This window comes from Homo sapiens, chromosome 3 (genome assembly GCF_000001405.40).
Source record: "Homo sapiens chromosome 3, GRCh38.p14 Primary Assembly".
Lineage (NCBI taxonomy): Eukaryota > Metazoa > Chordata > Mammalia > Primates > Hominidae > Homo > Homo sapiens.
This window is the reverse complement of record NC_000003.12, coordinates 136,539,107-136,557,463: the sequence shown is the minus strand read 5'-3', so window position 1 is coordinate 136,557,463 and position 18,357 is coordinate 136,539,107. Positions and strand designations below refer to the sequence as shown.

The following is an 18,357-nucleotide window of genomic DNA, read 5'->3' as shown; positions in this document are numbered from 1 at the left end:
TGAAGTTTAGTTAGTTATGTATAGGTTAGTCCTTCAAATTTAGGTTTTTACGTCATCTAGACTTCAGTTTTTTAAGTGTGAAAAGTCCTTCAGTTTTTCTTGATTGTACAATGACCCCATTAGCATATATCAAGTAACCCTTTACAGGAGAGTCTTTTTCTGGGTTCTCTATTCTGCTAATTGGTCTCTTAGATGGAAAGCTAACTTTCTTTTCTTTTCTTTTTTTAAAATGGTGTCTCACCCTGTAACCCAGGCTGGAGTGCAGTGGTGCGATCTTGACTCACTGCAGCCTCAACCTCCCTGGGCTTAGGTGATCCTCCCACTTTAGCTTCCCAAGTGTCTGAGACTACAGGCACGCACCACCACTACACCTGGCTAATTGTTTGGGATTTTTGCAGAGTCAGGGTTTCAACATGCTGCCCAAGCTGGTCTTGAACCCCTGGATTCAAGAGTTCTGCCCACCTCAGCCTCCCAAAGTGCTGGGATTACAGGCGTCGGCCATTGCTCCTGGTCAAAAAATTTCTTGACTAGAAACTTACTGGCTTTTGTATTTTTGTATATATTTTAGAAACTGGTTTGTGGGCCAAGCACAGTGGCTCGTACCTGTAATCCCAACACTTTGGGAGGTTGAGGTGGGTGAATCTCTTGAGCCCAGGGATTGGTGTCCAGCCTGGGCAACATGGTAAAACCCTGCCTCTACAAAAAATGCAGGAATTAGTGGGGCGTGGTGGTGTGTGCCTGTAGTCTCAGTTACTTGGGAGGCTGAGGTGAGAGGATCGCTTGAGCCCAGGAGGTGAAGATTGCAGTGAACTGTGGTCACACCATTGTACTCCTGCCTGAGTGACAGAGTGAGAACCTGTCTCAAAAAAACAAACAAACAAACAAAAAAAAAACGAATGTCAAGTTCTATCAGCAAACTCGTCGGAGTTTTAAATGGAATTATATTGAATCTGTATGTATGTTAGCATTTCTCAATCTTGACACTATTGAGTTTTTGGACTGGAAAGTCTTTGTCGTGGGAAGCATTCTTTCATTGTAGGACATTTAGCAGCATCTCTGGCCTCTACCCACTAAATGTCAGTAGAACCCCATTCCTACTTGAACAACTGCTGCTGTATATCAGTGGGGATGAATTTACATTTTGATAAAATAGAATCTTTCAGTTTGTGATCATTGTGTTTATTTCTGCATATATTCATCCCCTCTGCCAAGTATTTTAGAGGATTTTTTGAAGGGGATGTATGTGTGAAAAGGTCTTATACGTCCGTTATTAAATTTATTTCTGAACTTTCAGCATTTAAAAATTTCATTATAAGTAATGGTTTTTTAAAAATAGAGTTTATTTTTTTAGAGCAGTTTTAGGTTTACAGAAAAGCATGTCTACCACTGATATTTTAATGTAAAATTTAATATGCATTCCTAGAACGAATTCAACTTGGTCATGATATATTTTTAAATTATTGCTAGGTTTGGTTTGCTAGTATCTTGCTTAGGGTTTTTATATCTGTATCAGTGAGATTGCCTGTCCTTTTCCCCTTTCATTCTTTCCATTTTGGGTTTTGTTATGAAAACTTTGCTAATTTCACAAAATGAATTGCAAACAATACCTTCTTTTTCTGTTTTTTTTTTGGAATTATTTCTTTCCAGAATGTTTGGTAGAATTCAAGGCATCTGGACCCTGAAGATTTTTGTTGGATGATTTCAAGCTACTGATTTTTTTTTTTAACTATTAAATTGTATACTTGATTGATTGATTGACTGATTGATTGATTGATTGATTGAGACAGAGTCTAGCTCTGTAGCCCAGGCTGGAGTACAGTGCCACAAACACGGCTCACTGCAACCCCCGCCTCCTGGGTTCAAGCGGATTCTACTACCTCAGCCTCCTATGTAGCTAGAATTACAGGTGTGAGCCACCATGCCCAGCTGTTTTTGTATTTTTAGTAGAGATAGGGTTTCACCATATTGGCCAGGCTGGTCTCAAACTCCTGACCTCCAGTGATCTGCTTGCCTTAGCCTCCCAAAGTGCTGGGATTACAGGCTTGAGCCACTGTGCCCAGTCGTGATTCACTTTTTAAAAACTCATTTAGCACTATTGAGGTATTTTATTATTATTATTATTTAGAGACTCGCTATGTTTCCCAGGCTGGTCTTGAACTCAGGACTTCAAGAGATTCTCCTGCCTCAGCCTCCCAGGTAGCTAGGACTACAGGCATGCAAGACCATGCCCAGCTTCTGGTGTTTTTATTATTTTGATAAACCAGATTTTTCTAGGAAACTCTCCATTTTATCTAAATTTTAAAATTTATAAAGTTGTTTATAATATTCCATATATGTTATTTATATATTTATAATATATATATTATAAATATATAAATAGTGTGTGTGTGTGCCTGAGTGCGTGTGTGCATATATGTATATATATAGTTGTGAATTACTGATGTCCCTTTTCATTAATTTTAAGTGTTTTCTAATTCCTAATTATAGCTTTTTCTTGACACATGGATTATTTAGAAGCATATTTGTTCTTCTTTGTTTTAATGGCTTTTGTTTTGTTTTATTTTTTCGGTTATTTTTTGAGACGGGTTCTCACCCAGGCTGGAGTGGAGTCATGTGATCACAGCATACTGCAGCCTGAACTCCTGGGCAGAAATGATCCTCCCACCTCAGCTTCCCAAGTAGCTGGGACCACAAGTGTGTGCCACCACACCAGCTGATTTTTCTTTTTTCTTTTTTAGAGACAAGGTTGCTATGTTGCCCTGGCTACTTTTGAACTCCTGGACTCAAGCAGTCCTCCCCTCTCAACCTCACAATATGCTGGGATTACAGGCATGAGCCACTGTGCCTGTTCAGAAGCATATTTTTAAATTTTCAAGCATGAGAGTTTTCTGGTTAACTTTTTGTATTGTTTTCTTCTTTAGCTTCCTTGAATTTGAGGCAAAAGGAAATGGTCTGTAATTGTAGACTTGTCTCAAGGTTGTATGGTCAGCTTTTGCTAATGTTTCATGTGCCCTTAAAACTCATGCGTATTATGCATTTTTTAGGTGTAGTATGTCCATTGTTAGCTCAATAATTTTGTTAAAATATTTTATATCCTTCTAATTTATTGTGCTTGTTCTGATGATTACTGAGAGGGGTGTATGTTAAAATCCCACATCATGGTTGTAGATTTATGTATTTTTCCTTGATTTCTTCTTAACTGCCTTTCCCCTTCCTTACCCTCCCTCTTGTGTCTGTCTCTCTCTCCACTCCCTGATATGTTATTAGATGTATACAGACATCCAGCTTTTTTATAACTCAATATTTTATATTTAATGTTCCTCTTTATCTCCGGCAATACTTTTTTTTCTCTAAAAGTCTGTTTCATTTGAATATTAATGAAACCTACCACTTTTCATGTTTTTCTAGTGTTCTATTTTTTTTTCCTTTTATTGTTCCAGTATCTTTTAGATGCCGCTTGTTACAACTTACAGCTGGATCGTATTTTTTTAATTCAGTCTGTCTTTTAGTTGCACCATTTAGTCCCTTTTGCATTTAATACAATCACTGTAATTAGTTTTATATTGAACCAGTGGTTGTTCTTTGCCCCTCCTGTTCTATGTTTTCTTTTTCTCTTCTTTCTGGTCTTTAAATTACTTGAATACCAAAGAATTTGTCTTTCTTTTCTCTACTTCTTTGAACTTTTTGTTTTGAGATGGAGTCTCGCTCTCTTGCCAGGCTGGAGCGCAGTGGCGCGATCTTGGCTCACGGCAATCTCTGCCTCCTGGGTTCAAGCGATTCCCCTGCCTCAGCCTCCTGAGTAACTGGGACTACAGGCGCACACCACCACACCCGGCTAATTTTTTGTATTTTAGTAGAGACAAGGTTTCACCATGTTGGCCAGGATGGTCTTGATCTCTTGACCTTGTGACCCACCTGCCTTGGCCTCCCAAAGTGCTGGGATTACAGGCATGAGCCACCACACCCGGCCCAAAATTTAATTTTTGCTCTTTATTTCTGGTTTTCTGAGTTTCATTATGTTTTGCTGTAGGCGTAGAATATATTTTGACAGGGGCAGGGAGTATTGTTTTTCATTCATTCTAAAATTTCTTAATTGTTATCTCTTTAAATTTTCTTTCCATTTTATTTATCTTCTCCTTCAGGAACTTTGTGTAAATTTGTTATACTCTCTTCTGTGTATCTTTCCATATTTTTGAATTTCTGTGCAGCTTTCTGAATAATATCCCCCCCAAATTCGAGTTCTTTTACTCTTTTTATCTATGCCAATCCCTTAAGCCTTATTTCAGTTAGTGTATTGTTCATTTCTGTAAATTATAACTACTTGGTCCATGGAATTGTTCCCCTGTGGATATTCAAACTTGTATTTTTATTTTTTAACATGGTAAGTTTATTTCTTTTCTAATCTCTATCTGATAATTCTAGTATTTTAAGTCTTTGTGAGCCTGTTTCTGTGGTCTTGTTTTTGCTTGTTTTTTGCATGTTGTCTTTCTTCTTGGTGTATTTTGTTGCTTTTTGTTCCAAGTTCCTTATTTACTCTCAAATTTATTTGAATCCTAGGATTAAGTTACATTTCTCTAAGAGAGGATTTAGCATTTGCTTTGCAGGTGTCCAGGGGCGCTACCAATCTAGGACCATTTGTAATTGAATAGAGAGTTTGAGATTTTCTTTCAGTTATTTGTTAGAACACCAGTTTTTGATTATAACTTCTTAGATACATTTATCTCCCTCTTTGCAGTACCAGAAAAACTTTATTTTCCCCAGAGTATGAGGTGATAAATTGACCCCTGGTTTAGCCTTAACCTGAAGATGTAATCCTTTGAGGCCCCACTTTATAGAGTTATTTCTTCTAGACCCTCTACCTCATATCGCCCAACTGAAGCAAATAGGCTTAGCAAGGGTCATCATAGAAAAAGTGATTTCAGCATTGCTTCTATATATTGAATTTCTGCTTTTATTTATTGTCCTCCTAATATCTTCCTGCTTCATATGGCTTCAGATGCTTTCAAAATGCTGTTTATATTTTATTTAGCATTTGAGGGAAAGGATTTGTATAAATAATATTGTTTACAATATCATTATAAACTGAACTTGTATATATAAATGTAAAGTGATTTCTCCCTCAGATGATATGTATATGTGTGTGTAAATGTAACTTCTAATGCTGAAATTTTTCAAAAAAATTTTTTGTGGAAATGAATAATTTTGAAACTTTGATGCTTTTGGCATAATTTGCATATTTACTTTGTATATTGTTGTAATGTAATTTCTGCTTTCATAGGTTTTGATTTTCTTGGGCCTACTTGAAGATTTCAATTGCTTATTATTGTCATGGTTTTGAAAAAGCTTTCAAATGTAGGCTGACGTGCAGGTACTGTTTTAGGTAGAGTGTACAAAGAAACCACAAGTAATCCTGATGGGTTTACACTTAAAGAAAACCTGTTGGGTATGCAGAGAACAGGATAAAAATTATAAAATAAGAGATTGGAATATGAAGTATTTTGCCTTAATATTTTTCAATTTCAGCCTCTCTCTCTCTCAGTGTCTCTCTCTCATGTCTTTCTCTCAAGTAGGCCAGGCACAGTGGCTCACGTCTGTAATCCCAACACTTTGGGAGGCCAAGGCAGGAGGATCAGTTGAGCCCAGGAGTTTAAGACCAGCCTGGACAACATAGTAAGACCCTGTCTCTACAAAAATAGAAAAATTAGCCAGGTGTGTGCCTGTAGTCCCAGGTGCTTGGGAGGCTGGGTGGGAGGTGGCCAAGAGGTTGAGGCTGCAGTGAGCCATGATTTTGCCACTGCACTTCAGCCTGGGCAACAGAGCAAGATCCTGTCTCAAAAAAAAAATACTGAGAATAGACACATGAACTATTCAGAAATTCAAAAGAGGCAGAGCAGGCTGGCTCATGCCTGTAATTTGAGCACTGTGGGAGCCCGAGGTGGGGGCATCGCTTCAGTTGAGGAGTTCTAGAGTAGCCTGGGCAACACAGAGAAACCCTATCTCTCTCCCCTCTTCCCCCTGCCAAAAAAAAAAAAAAATTAGCCAGATGTATTGATGCCTGCCTATAGTCCTAGCTTGCAGAGGTGGGAGGTGGGAGAGGTTGAGGTAGGAGGATTGCTTGATTCTGGGAGGTCAAGGCTGCAGTGAGCCAGGATTGTGCCACTGCACTCCAGCCTGGGCAACAGAGCACGCTCTCTCGCTCTCCCTCTCTCTCTCTCTCTCTCTCTCTCTCTCTCTCTCTCTCTCTCTCTCTCTCTCACTCTCTCTCAACCTCTCTCTCTCTCTCAAAAAAAAAAAAAAAGGAGTTAAAAAAATTTATGTAGATACCTAAATCATCTTAAAGGAAATGAAACATAACTTCTTACCCATTAAGTGTGGGCTGTGCATAGTGACTTCTAAGGAGTACAGTGTGGAAGGAGGTGGAGAAATGTAATTTACAAAGGAGAAAACTGACAAACACTTGCATCTAGATGTTCATGATTAATAATCAGTAGTGTTTAGTCATATCGATAGTGACTTGATTTTATATGATGAAGATGGCAATTTCTCTCTTTACTTTCCTTCCAAAAATCCATAAACCCTGTCTAACCGTGAGAAAAGCATCAGACAAATCGAAAGACATTGTATAAAATACCTGACCACTGCTTCTTAAAACCTTTGTGGTCATCAAAAACAAGTAAAGTGTGAAAATTAGAAATGGAAGTAGAGACTTTAAAGATGATGTCCCAGAAATAATAAACATCATAAGAGACTACAAGGAACGACTCTACACCAATAAATTGGATAATCTAGAATAAATGACTAAATTTCTAGAAACATACAACCTATCAAGACTGAGTTATGGAGAAAAAGAAAAGCTGGGCCAGGCACAGTGGCTCATGCCTGTAATTCCAGCAATTTGTGAGGCTGAGGCAGGTGGATCACAAGGTCAGGAGATCAAGACCATCCTGGCTAACACGGTGAAACCCTGTCACTACTAAAAATACAAAAAATTAGCCGGGCATGGTGGTGGGCGCCTGTAATCCCAGCTACTCGGGAGGCTGAGGCAGGAGAATGGCGTGAATCCGGGAGGCAGAGCTTGCGGTGAGCCAAGATCGCGCCACTGTACTCCAGCCTGGGCGACAGAGTGAGACTCTGTCTCAAAAAAAAAAAAAAGGCTGAACAGACCTGTAACCAGTGGGCGGATTAGGAGAACAAAGAAAAGTCCCAGTATCATTTGGCTTCACTGGTGACTTTCGCCAAACATTTAAAGAATTAATGCCAGTTCTCAGTCTTTTCCAAATAATCGATGAGGATGGAACACTTGTAAACCCATTTTATGTGGGCAGCATTACTCTTATACCAAAGCCAAGAAAAGACATCACAAAAAAAAGATACCACGAAAAGAAAAAGGCCAGTATAGATCCCTGATGAGTATATATGCAAAAAGTCCTAAACAAAAGACTAGCAACCAAATTTAACAGCATATTATTCACCAAATGAAAGTCAATTAATATGGTATGCCACATTAACAGAATGAAGGATAAAAATCACTTGGTCATCTCAGTAGATACCAGACAAAGAGTTTTATAAAATCCAGCACCCTTTTCATGTTAAAAGAAAAAACTCAGCAAACTAGGAATAGAGGAAAATAGAACACAATAATGGCCATATATACAAAGCTTATTGCTAACATATTCTATGGTGAAAATCTAAAAGCTTTTTCTGTAAGATCAGGAACAAGGTGAGGATGCCCACTCTCACCACTTCTATTCTGTGTATTACCAGAAGTTCTGCCCAGAGCTATTAGGCAAGCAAAAAAAAAAAAACGGAAGAAGTGAAATTGTTTCTGTTAACAGATGACATAATCTTATATATAGAAAACCAGGCTGGGCATGGTGGCTCATGCCTGTAATCTCAGCACTTTGGGAGGCTGAGGCAGGCAGATCACCTGAGGTCAGGAGTTCAAGACCAGCCTGGCCAACATGGTGAAACCCTGTCTCTACAAAAAATCAGCCAGGATGGTGCAGGTGCCTGTAATCCCAGCTACTCAGGAGGCTGAGGCAGGAGAATTGCTTGAACCTGGGAGACGGAGGTTGCAGTGAGCCGAGATCATACCATTGCACTCCAGCTTGGGTGACAAGTGTGAAACTCTGTCTCAAGGGAAAAAAAAAAGGAAAACTGATTATTCCACAAAAATGTTACAATTCATCAATCAATTCGGCAAAGTAACAGGATGCAACATCAACATATAAATTTAGTTGTATTTCTATACATTAAAAGTGAACTTTCTGAAAGAAAATTAGGAAAACATTCCAATTTGCAATAGCATAAGAAAGAATAAAATACTTGGGAATAAACTTAAGAGGTGTTATTAGTCCGTTTCCACTGCTGTAAAGAAATATCTGAGACCGAGTAATTTATAAAGTAAAGAGGTTTAATGTTTACGATTTTGCAGGCTGTAGAGGAAGCGTGGCTAGGAAGGCCTCAGGAAACGTACAATCATGGCAGAATTAGAAGGGAAAGCAGGCACATCTTCACATGGCCAGAGCAGGAGGAAGAGAGGGAGGAGAGGTACTATACACTTTGAAACAACCAGATCTTATGATAATTCACCTACTATCATGAAAACAACACCAAAAGGGAAATCCATCCCCATGATCCAACCACCTCCTACCAGGCCCCACCTCCAACATTGGGGATTACAATTTGACATGAGATTTGAGTGGGGACACAGACCCAAACCATATTAGGAGGTAAAAGACTCACTGAAAACAACAAAACATTGATGAAAGAAATTAAAGGAGACACAAACAAATGGAAAGACATCCATGAATTGGAAGACTTAATATTGTTAAAATGTCCATACTGCCTAAAGTGGTCTTACCGATTCAGTGAAATTTCTATCAAAATTCCAATGGGATTTTTTGCAGAAATAGAAAAATTCTGAACTTCATATGGAATCACAGAGAACCCTTAATACCCAAAACAGTCTGAGGAAGGAAGAACAAAGCTGGAAGCACCACACTTCCAAACTTCAAAATACGATACAAAAGTACAGTAGTTAAAACATCAGCTGGGTTCAGTGGCTCACACCCGTAATGCCAGCACTTGGGGAGGCTGAGGCAGGCAAATCACTTGAGCCCATGAGTTTGAGACCAGCCTGGGCAACATGGCAAAACCCTATCTCTACTAAAAATACAAAAATTAGCCCGGGCATGGTGGTGCTTGCTTGTAGTCCCAGCTACTTGGGAGGTGAGGTGGGAGGACCACCTGAGCTGGGGAGGTCAAGGCTGCAGTGAGCCATGATCATACCACTGCACTCCAGCCTGGATGACAGAGTGAGACCCTGTCTCAAAAAAAAAAAACAAAACAAAACAGTTTGGCACTAGTATGAAGATAGGCATAGCAACTAATGTAACAGAATAGAGAGCCCAGAAGTAATTCACGTATGTATGGACAACTTACCTTTGACAAGGGTGTCAAGAATATACAGTAGGGAAAGGATAGTCTTTTCAACAAATGGTGTTTGGGAAAACTGGATATCTACATGCAAAAGAATGAAATTGGTTTGGACCCTTACCTTACACTTTAACTCAAAAATCAACTCAAAATGGATTAAACAATTAAACGTAAGACCTGAAACTTACCGACTCTTAGAAGAAAACATAGGGAGAAAAGAGCTTCATGACATTGGTCTTGGCAATGAATTCATGGGAATAACACCAAAAAGTGTCTGTGGATGGATGGATGAATGGATAAATAAAATGCAGTATATACATACAATAGAATATTATTGAGCTTTAAAAAGGAAGAAAATTCTGCAATATGTGACAACCATGGATGAATCTGGAGGGCATTATGCTAAATGAAATAAGCCAGCCACAGAAAGACACAGAAATCAATCAAATAACTGCTTGATTACACTTACATGAGGTATGTTAACTCATGGAAGGAGAGAGCAGAAGGGTGATTGCCAGGGGGAGGGGGAAGCAGGAAGTGGGAAATTGCTAATAATGTGTATCAAGTTTCAGTAATGCAAAATGAATTCATTCTAGAGATAAACAGTCTGAGAAAGTGTCACAGTGTAGAGGAGTCTAAGAAGACATGACAGCTACCACCTTTGGTGGTATTCTGGAACAAAAATGATACTAGGTAAAAACTAAGGAAGTCTGCATAAAGTATGGGCTTTAGTTATTAATGTTATCAGTATTGGCTCATTAGTTGTGACAGTTGTACTATACTAATGTTAGGTGTTAACAATAAGGGATACTGAATCTGATGTGTATGGGATCTCTATACTATCTTTGTAACTTTTCTGTTAGTCTAAAACTATTCTAAAATAGAAAGCATATTTTTTAAAAATGCTATAGGAATTCAGTTAAGAAAAATTCCTTGAGACTGAAATACTAAACCCAACCAGTTCTTTTCCTCACATACATAAAAGTTTTGTAAAATGAAAAATAGGTATTCTAGGCAAAAGATGAGTTGAGAAAATCTTAGTGGCACCAGACAAAAGTTGTGAGAGACTTCAAAGTATACTTGAGATTATCTGGGACCCCTAGTGACATAGCTTTGAAGCACAGGTTGAAGAAACAGGACTTGATCATTTATGCAGTCTGATAAGAAACTGCTAAAGAATCTTAAGTAGTCTCAAATATTTAAATCTTAAATTATGTAACTGGAGCCAATTATACAATGTCATCTATAAACAAGGTACTTGCTAAAACTTTTTGCTCTATAATTTATGGATTTGTATACAATGTGGGCAGCTTCTCTTTGCTTTTTCACCCTGAATTTAGAAATGAAACCTGGCTCTCCCTATATCAGATTATTTCACTCATGGCCTCATTAATTAGAAAGGAGAAGAGTTCAGCCTTTTCTACTCTCTGTTTTCTACTCCTTGCTTTTCCATACCATGCGATGAAAGGTAACAATCTTCTCTAGAATTACTTTTTATTGTTATCATTTTATTTCTCCCTTTAGTTCCCTATGACTAAAATTTTTTGGTTGACATTTTGTCTCTAATGTGTAATTTTTGCCTGAGTTCTCGATTTTCTTTAATAATATCCTGAAAATTTTGGGACTTTCTCTACAAAAATACATAGACATGAATTTTCGTATGTTTTAAAATGGTTCATAGGTACTTTGGAGTCCATGTGCCACAGGTCAAGAAACCCTGCCTATCTTGAATCCTATTAATAGTCGTAATAGAACTGAGGTGGCAGACAGACATTATTTTTCTTACAGTCATTTCTTCTAAGTCTTACGTGAACAACATTAGCACTGATATGAACTTATTTTAATAGTTCTTGAAGATATGGTGAAAATACTTTGGACATCTTTGAACAGTTCTATAGCTCTAGCTAGGATAGTGCTTGCTTTTGGCCCTGGGCTATACTAGCATGGCTCAAACAAGCTCTACAATTTGATATTCTAGTATTTGGTAAAGTTTCTGTTCTTGGTGTAGATGGACTGCATCCTGTGCAGTCTTGAAAGATTAGTTAACCGGTACTCACATGTTATGTGCCAATACGTGATTTTTAAAAACATTTACTTTAATGTTTTACTTATCTTTTGTATTTAGAAAGGAAAAAATACATTAGTTTTTTTTCCTCCCCCACAAGGACTGTTATAAAGTGAAGGCTGCCATCTAGAGACAGACTCATCATTGGAGATGTAATCACAGCAATTTCTGTTTTCAAGGCATTCTAAAAAATTTATAAGTATCAAAAATGTATCTTTATTCATAATTTGTGAGGGTTTTTTTTTTCCTTTTTGCACATACTGTTTAGACAGATCCCATGCATCCCAAGATATTTACGATTAAGCTTGAAAGGTATCAAAGTGTCTCTTTCTTTACCTCTTCCCCAGACCCCCTCCTCAAATCTTGAAAAAGACTCTTAAATGTAGTCACTGCATTACTAGGTAACTGTTAAGTTCTACATTTCTGGTATACTGATATTTGTTTAGTGAATCCTTCTCAGTTTTAGTAGACTCAACATTTCTTCTCCTATCCTGACTCAGATTTTTTCTACCAATCCATCCATATTTATGTCTAGTCTTGATTTACAGTTTGCTGTTTATCAGGCTAGGTTATATAAAAATGAAACTAAAAATGGCCAGGCACGGTGGCTCACGCCTGTAATCCCAGCAGTTTGGGAGGCCGAGGTGGGTGGATCATGAGGTCAGGAGTTCGAGACCAGCCTGGCCAACATGATGAAACCCTGTCTCTACTAAAAATACAAAACTTATTGTGTTTTTAGTAGAGAATAATTACACGTGGTGACGTGTGCCTGTAATCCCAGCTACTCAGGAGACTGAGGCAGGAGAATCACTTGAACCCGGGAGGCGGAGGTTGCAGTGAGCTGAGATCGCGCCATTGCACTCCATCTTGGACAACAGAGCAAGACACAATCTCAAAAAAAAAGAAATAAAAAAATAAAAAGTTAGATGACAATAAAAATGATCCTGTCATATGCTTGGATTATCTCTAGTACATAACTAGATTACATTTTATTTATTAAGGCGCTATAATCCACTCTGTAAAAGAAGAGCTTTAAAATGATTTATACATGGAGCAATTACTTAGAAAGCATCTGCTATTTGGAAGGATCTTTTGCTAAGTGTGTTAGACAATGTTAGTGTATTTCAATCACACTTAGACTTCAGTAATTTGAGGTAAGCAAGAATGGTGTGTCATAAAAGCTATAAACTTTTTTTTTTTTTGAGTCTTGCTCTGTCATCCAGGCTGGAGTACAGTGGTGCAATCTCAACTTACTGCAACCTCAGTCTCCCAGGTTCCAGAGATTCTTGTGCCTCAGCCTCCTGAGTAGCTGAGATTACAGGCATGTGCCACCCACACCCGGCTGTTTTTTTGTATTTTTAGTAGAGATGATGTCTCGCCGTGTTGCCCAGGCTGGTCTCAAACTCTTGATCTTAAGCAGTCTGCCCACCTCAACCTCCCAAAGTGCTGGTATTATAGGTGTAAGCCACCACACATGGCCAAAAGCTATTATTAATATAAACTTAAAAGAGCCTTGTGTTATATTTGGATAAATTGTTTTGCTGCTGAGTAAAGTTCTGTCTACTTTCAGTCTTCTGTGTACTTGTGTACCTAGTTGGAGGGATGTATAGAAGGCTTGGAGTTTATGCCCTGGCTGACATCATAGAATAGAGGAGGAGAATTGAAAATGACTGAGGAGGGACAGGGTTGAGACATTTCTCTAAACTGTGTGGTTCATATATATGAGGATAAGAAAGTTTGCTGGGTCCTTCTTGACTTTTCTGACAATTTACCTCATCATTGTCTTAACTTACCCCTATGATAGGTACTAGGCATTTTGAACAGGGTGTTTAGTGCTGTTGGACCTGATATGTCTACTCTGGAGGTGGATGCTATAGGTCTAGGTGATGGGAAAACCTCTGGAATTACTTTCCCTGGTTTTGGGATAAAAGAGGTAGCTCGTCTCTTGAAACAGTATTTGAATCTGTGCATACGTAGGAATCTGACTTCCTGTAGAACTCAACTTAGGAACTGGAGCTTTTAGCTTGCTTCCAAAATGGGCACGATAATGTATCAGAAAAAAAAATGAATGCCCAAAGTAGGAGAGTCTAATACTGAGTATCTTTTATGTTACAGGTGCAATGCCAAATACTTTACATTTGTTATCTCATTTAATTCTCTTATCATCCTTATTTGTTTGAATGTTTCCCATGTGCTAAGTAATGTTCCAGGCAGTAGCAGTTAGAACATTGAAGAAAGGCTCTCTGCTCTGCAGTGATATTATCACCACTTAAAAGATTAGAAATCCTAGTTTCATAGAGACTAAGTGACTTTTCTAGTGTCCCATATCCGGTAACTGATGGAGCTGAGAAACCCTACTATGTCTTACTCTAAAGACATTGAGCCACTCTAGGATGACTTATTTCCTGAGGCTTCTAACGTATGTTGTAATCACTGCAACTACAATTACAGTCTGTTTTTATTGTTGTCTATATAGATATTTATACAAGAGCGTGTTTTCCAGCCTTATATTCCGTCTTTTGTGCCCTGTGATAGCAGATAACAAAAACACAGTATTTCTGGCAAACTTGTGTTAAGGATTCTTATTCTTGCCTTCTACTGAGTGCATATTGATAAGGACTATACAAATGCCTGATAGTGTTTAAGAGCAGTGTCTTTCAGTTTAGTTTTTTACATTTTATTTTTTATTTGAAATGTATTTATTCATAATTTTGTTTGGGTAATATATTCATGTAGTTCAAATTTTTAAAGTGCAAAAAGTATGAATATAGCCTCCCTTATTTTTCTAAACCTCAACTGCCCATTTCTCTTTCTTGGAGGCAACCAGTTTTACTAGAGTATCTTTCTAGAAATATTTTAATGTATGTTCAATCAAATATATTTCAGTATCCATTCTTTTTTGTGTTTGAATATATCCTATAGATCTTTCCATAGATAGCTTATTTTTTGATAGCTCCATCTATAGTTTTGATAGATTCCATTGACTTTGAGAGTCAATAAAGAGTAGTGGTTAATCATAGTAGCCAGTCTGCCTGCATGTAAACCATGGGTCTGATACCGGGAAACTTTTTTTGCAAGTTGCTAAACCTCTAGATGCCTCTTGTCTCAGAAATAATAGTACATTCTTCATAAGGCTGTTGTAAAGATTAAATGTATAAGCATCAAGTGCCTGGGAGATAGTAAGCACCCAAATGTTAGCTGCCACCACCATCGTCATTAATATCACCTTTTTATTTATTTCATCTGATCTTTATGAGCATATAGGCTTTCTTTCCTTTTTTTTTTTTTTTTATTACAAACAGTGCTTCAGGGATAACCTTTTACATTCATTACTTTGCACATGTGTTAGTCAGTGGATGTTTTGCTACAGGTACAATCTGTGGATCAAAGAGTATGTAAATTTGTAGTTTTGGCAGACATTTACCAAACTGCATACCATAGAGATTGTACCAAATTATATACTTTTATCAGCAATTTAACGTAATTTAAACTATCTAGAACTTTATGGTAGATTTCTGATGTTATGTCTAATTATGGAATTATTTATAGTTAAAAACGGCAATTTCAAAATTCTTCCTTTTCCTTCTTAGGAGTACTGTCCTGTCAGAAGGGCCTGATCAAACAACATTTTATGTTTTAATATAAAATATATGTTGGAAGGTTATTCTTTTGGGATTCTCACAGATAACTTGTTAATGCTTGAGAGAGTGGAAATTGATCTGAAAGATTAATTGAAAGATTAATGTAAAATCTGTTGTTCCACAGGTACTGTGAGAATAGAGATGTTTCGAAATATGCAGAATGCAGAAATCATCAGAAAAATGACTGAAGAATTTGATGAGGTATAGCATTCCAATATTCATACAAATTGCTTACTTATACTTTCACATGATGAATATGTTGATTATCTCAGGTTTTGTTTTGATTTGATGTTTAGTGTAACTGAAAATCTATTTTTTAATTATATATGATAATCTGTGGTACTAATTCCAAAATTAATGATCTTTGGAGATTTGATTATGTTGTGTGGAGTATTGAATAATTACTGGCAGGCTAAGAAAATTAGTGATATGAGGTAAAAGTAGATTCTTGATATTTATTTTGAAGACCATCTCAAATTCCCAAATTTATAAATGCATCTCCAACAGTTTTCTGTTTGTGGAATGCTAGTTGCATTAAATGCTTTAAGGGGAAAACAGTTTGGAGGTCAGTGAATTCTAAGCAGGACCACATATTATACCTGTCTCAGAGATTATAAAATCACATTATGTTATTTAAGATTCCAAGACATCCTAATTAAGAAAAGCCCTGCTTACCTTCATTTAACCCAGAATTTCCCAAAATTATTTTACGTGGAAATTCTCCCAAACCCCTGGTGTGTGTGTGTGTGTGTGTGTGTGTGTGTGTGTGTGTGTGTGTGTGAATGTTAAGCTTCTATTTGGGATACTCTACTTGAAAGTATTCTTATTTTCATTTAGAATACATGTTTTCTTTGCTTGGCTTCACAAATTAATCACCTTTCTCATTTTCACAGAAATATTCTCTTGAGCAGTTTTACAGTGATTGTAAATGCAGAAACATTTCCACAGTTTTATTTCTGTATTGTATTTATGGTGAAATGAATTTATATTATGTATTAGGCTACCATTAATTCCAGTTTTAACAATCTGCCTTTTGATTTAAATAACATTTCTATTTTTGGTATGTGTTTCTTTTTCTTGACTTTCAGCACTAAAATATTGGTTGTTTTCTAGGTCTGCTCTTTGACAGGGAGTGGGCACGGGGTTTTATTATTATTAATTTTAACTTGGAAAACGTCATACAAACACATATGTTAAGACAAACAGTGTGTGACCCGGGTATTGGGATTTTTGAAAGTTCATCAGGTGATTCTAATGTATACCAAAGCTTGGGAACTACTAGTTTAAAGAAAATTAACAGAAAGCCAAGAATTAACTTAGTAAAACTCTTCACGTATGAAAATGGAATGAGATAAAAACAGAAATAAAGACACTGTGAAAATGCACATATAACAAGAAAGCATTACTTTTGTTTTAGGATTATTAAATAACTAGAAGTTGAGAAATTCAGGAAAATAAATATATAGGTTTTTTTTTTTTTTTTTTTTTTTTTTTTTTGGAGACACAGTTTCACTCTGTCGCCCAGACTGGAGCGCAGTGGCATTGTCTCAGCTTACTTTAACCTCTACCTCCCCGGTTCAAGCAGTTCTCATGCCTCAGCCTCCCAAGTAGCTGGGATTACAGGGGTGTGCCACCACGCCCAGCTAATTTTTGTATTACTAGTAGAGACAGGATTTCTCCATGTTGTCCAGGCTGATCTGGAACTCCTGACCTCAGGTGATCCAACCACCTCAGCCTCCCAAAGTGCTCGAATTACAGACATGAGCCACCATGCCTGGCCAAATATATACTTAAAATACTCCTGTAAATATTGTTAACTATTATGGTATGTTGAAGGAATAGTAAACTATTAAGAAAAGTAAGAATGAGTTACGTTGCAAGTGAAATTACTGAAAAGGCATTTCATATACCTAAATATATTTTCTCGCAATATTTGAGATGATCAGCTTCATCAAAGAAGACTTTTTTAAAATCACCATTCTAGTTTTTTTTTTTTGTTTGATAGTAAAGTAACACAGTTTGATTATGATATGAAGGTATTTAAAGTGAAAATACTTACTAGATATTTGAGGCTATCCATTTTATCTTCTGTCACTTGAGGAAGATATTATTCCTTTTGTTACTGTGTATATACCCGAGAAACTTGGTTTAAATGCATGTATATTGTGAAATATAACTTATTTTAAGAAGTTTATTACATTTTTTTCTTCAAAAGACTATATATGTCATTTGGTTTTGTGGGAGTTGAGGAGGTTAGCTTTATTAAATTGTATTTTATAATATTCTAAAAGATCTGATGACAAGAACCATTGGGTCCCAAGAATCTAGAACAATGTCTAATTCTCAAGGAATAATCATTTAAATTTTATTAAAATTAATATATTGTATTACAGCAAAGTAAGGTAAAGGTGAGATGAGTTAGTTTGAAGCTGTTAAGATTTTCAGTAAAGTGATCTAAAAGTAAGTTGTTGCCTGAGAAGTACACTTTGGTTCCTATTCTTTGTTACAAACAGATTATTACAATGTTGGTTAATAATCTTTTTAAAATACCTATAAACCTGCACATAGCAGTGCTTTGTGATTGTAATGTCAACCTAATTTAAAAATAAATTATTTCCCAGAGCAATCTATGGGCTGTTCAGTCAATACATACACTTCGCTCTTGATAGAGCTAGCTGTAGAAAGCTAAAGCAAATTGATATTTCTTCCCCACATTTTTGGAATTGCACCTTCATATGTAAAGTCTTTGTTATGTTTCCAAGGTCAGATTGCATAGTTTTCATATGTTTTAAGTATGACTTTTATGTAGGGAAATTTTTATAACAAAACACATTTAATATATTCATTTAGTGCCTTTAATTCTTGCTTGTTCTTTTGCATTACATTGATAAATTGCGTGATTTTTGTGTATTGTGCTCTTCTCCCGTGATAACTTAACCTTGCAGATTTTTTCTCTTTTCCTGTCTAATCGTATGTACTTCTCTAAATTTATCCATTTCAGCATTTATTTAATCAAAGGATTAACATCATTAATAAGTATAAAAATGGTTAAATAGTATACAAACTGAGAAAAGGAAATATTACGGATATGATAGGGGAAAGCTCAAATTATCTCCAGTCCCAAGTTAAAGTCTCTAAATTGTTTCAATTGTATATCCCATCACTAAAACATTTTTTTTTTTTTTTGAGACGGAGTCTGGCTCTGTCGCCCAG

General features: G+C 36.7%; 1 protein-coding gene across 6 annotated transcripts in view, besides 1 other annotated feature; it reads left to right on the top strand.

Annotated features, from left to right (window-relative positions):
• STAG1 (STAG1 cohesin complex component) overlaps window positions 1-18,357 on the top strand; it is a 416,143-nt gene that overhangs the window by 194,915 nt on the left and 202,871 nt on the right. For all 6 annotated transcript variants that reach the window (XR_001739978.2, NM_005862.3, XM_047447229.1 and 3 more), the window contains one exon: window positions 15,269-15,345. Coding sequence is in view for 5 of the 6 variants with exons in the window: in NM_005862.3 (NP_005853.2) it covers window positions 15,269-15,345 (77 nt within the window). In the remaining variant the exon portion in view is untranslated. The remainder of the gene's footprint in view (window positions 1-15,268; window positions 15,346-18,357) is intronic.
• Window positions 9,861-9,910: an enhancer, noted in NCBI's record as "active region_20586". NCBI's record gives its function as "activates an Ori minimal core promoter by ATAC-STARR-seq in GM12878 lymphoblastoid cells {active_cell/tissue: GM12878}" and the evidence as "EXISTENCE:reporter gene assay evidence [ECO:0000049][PMID:35858748]".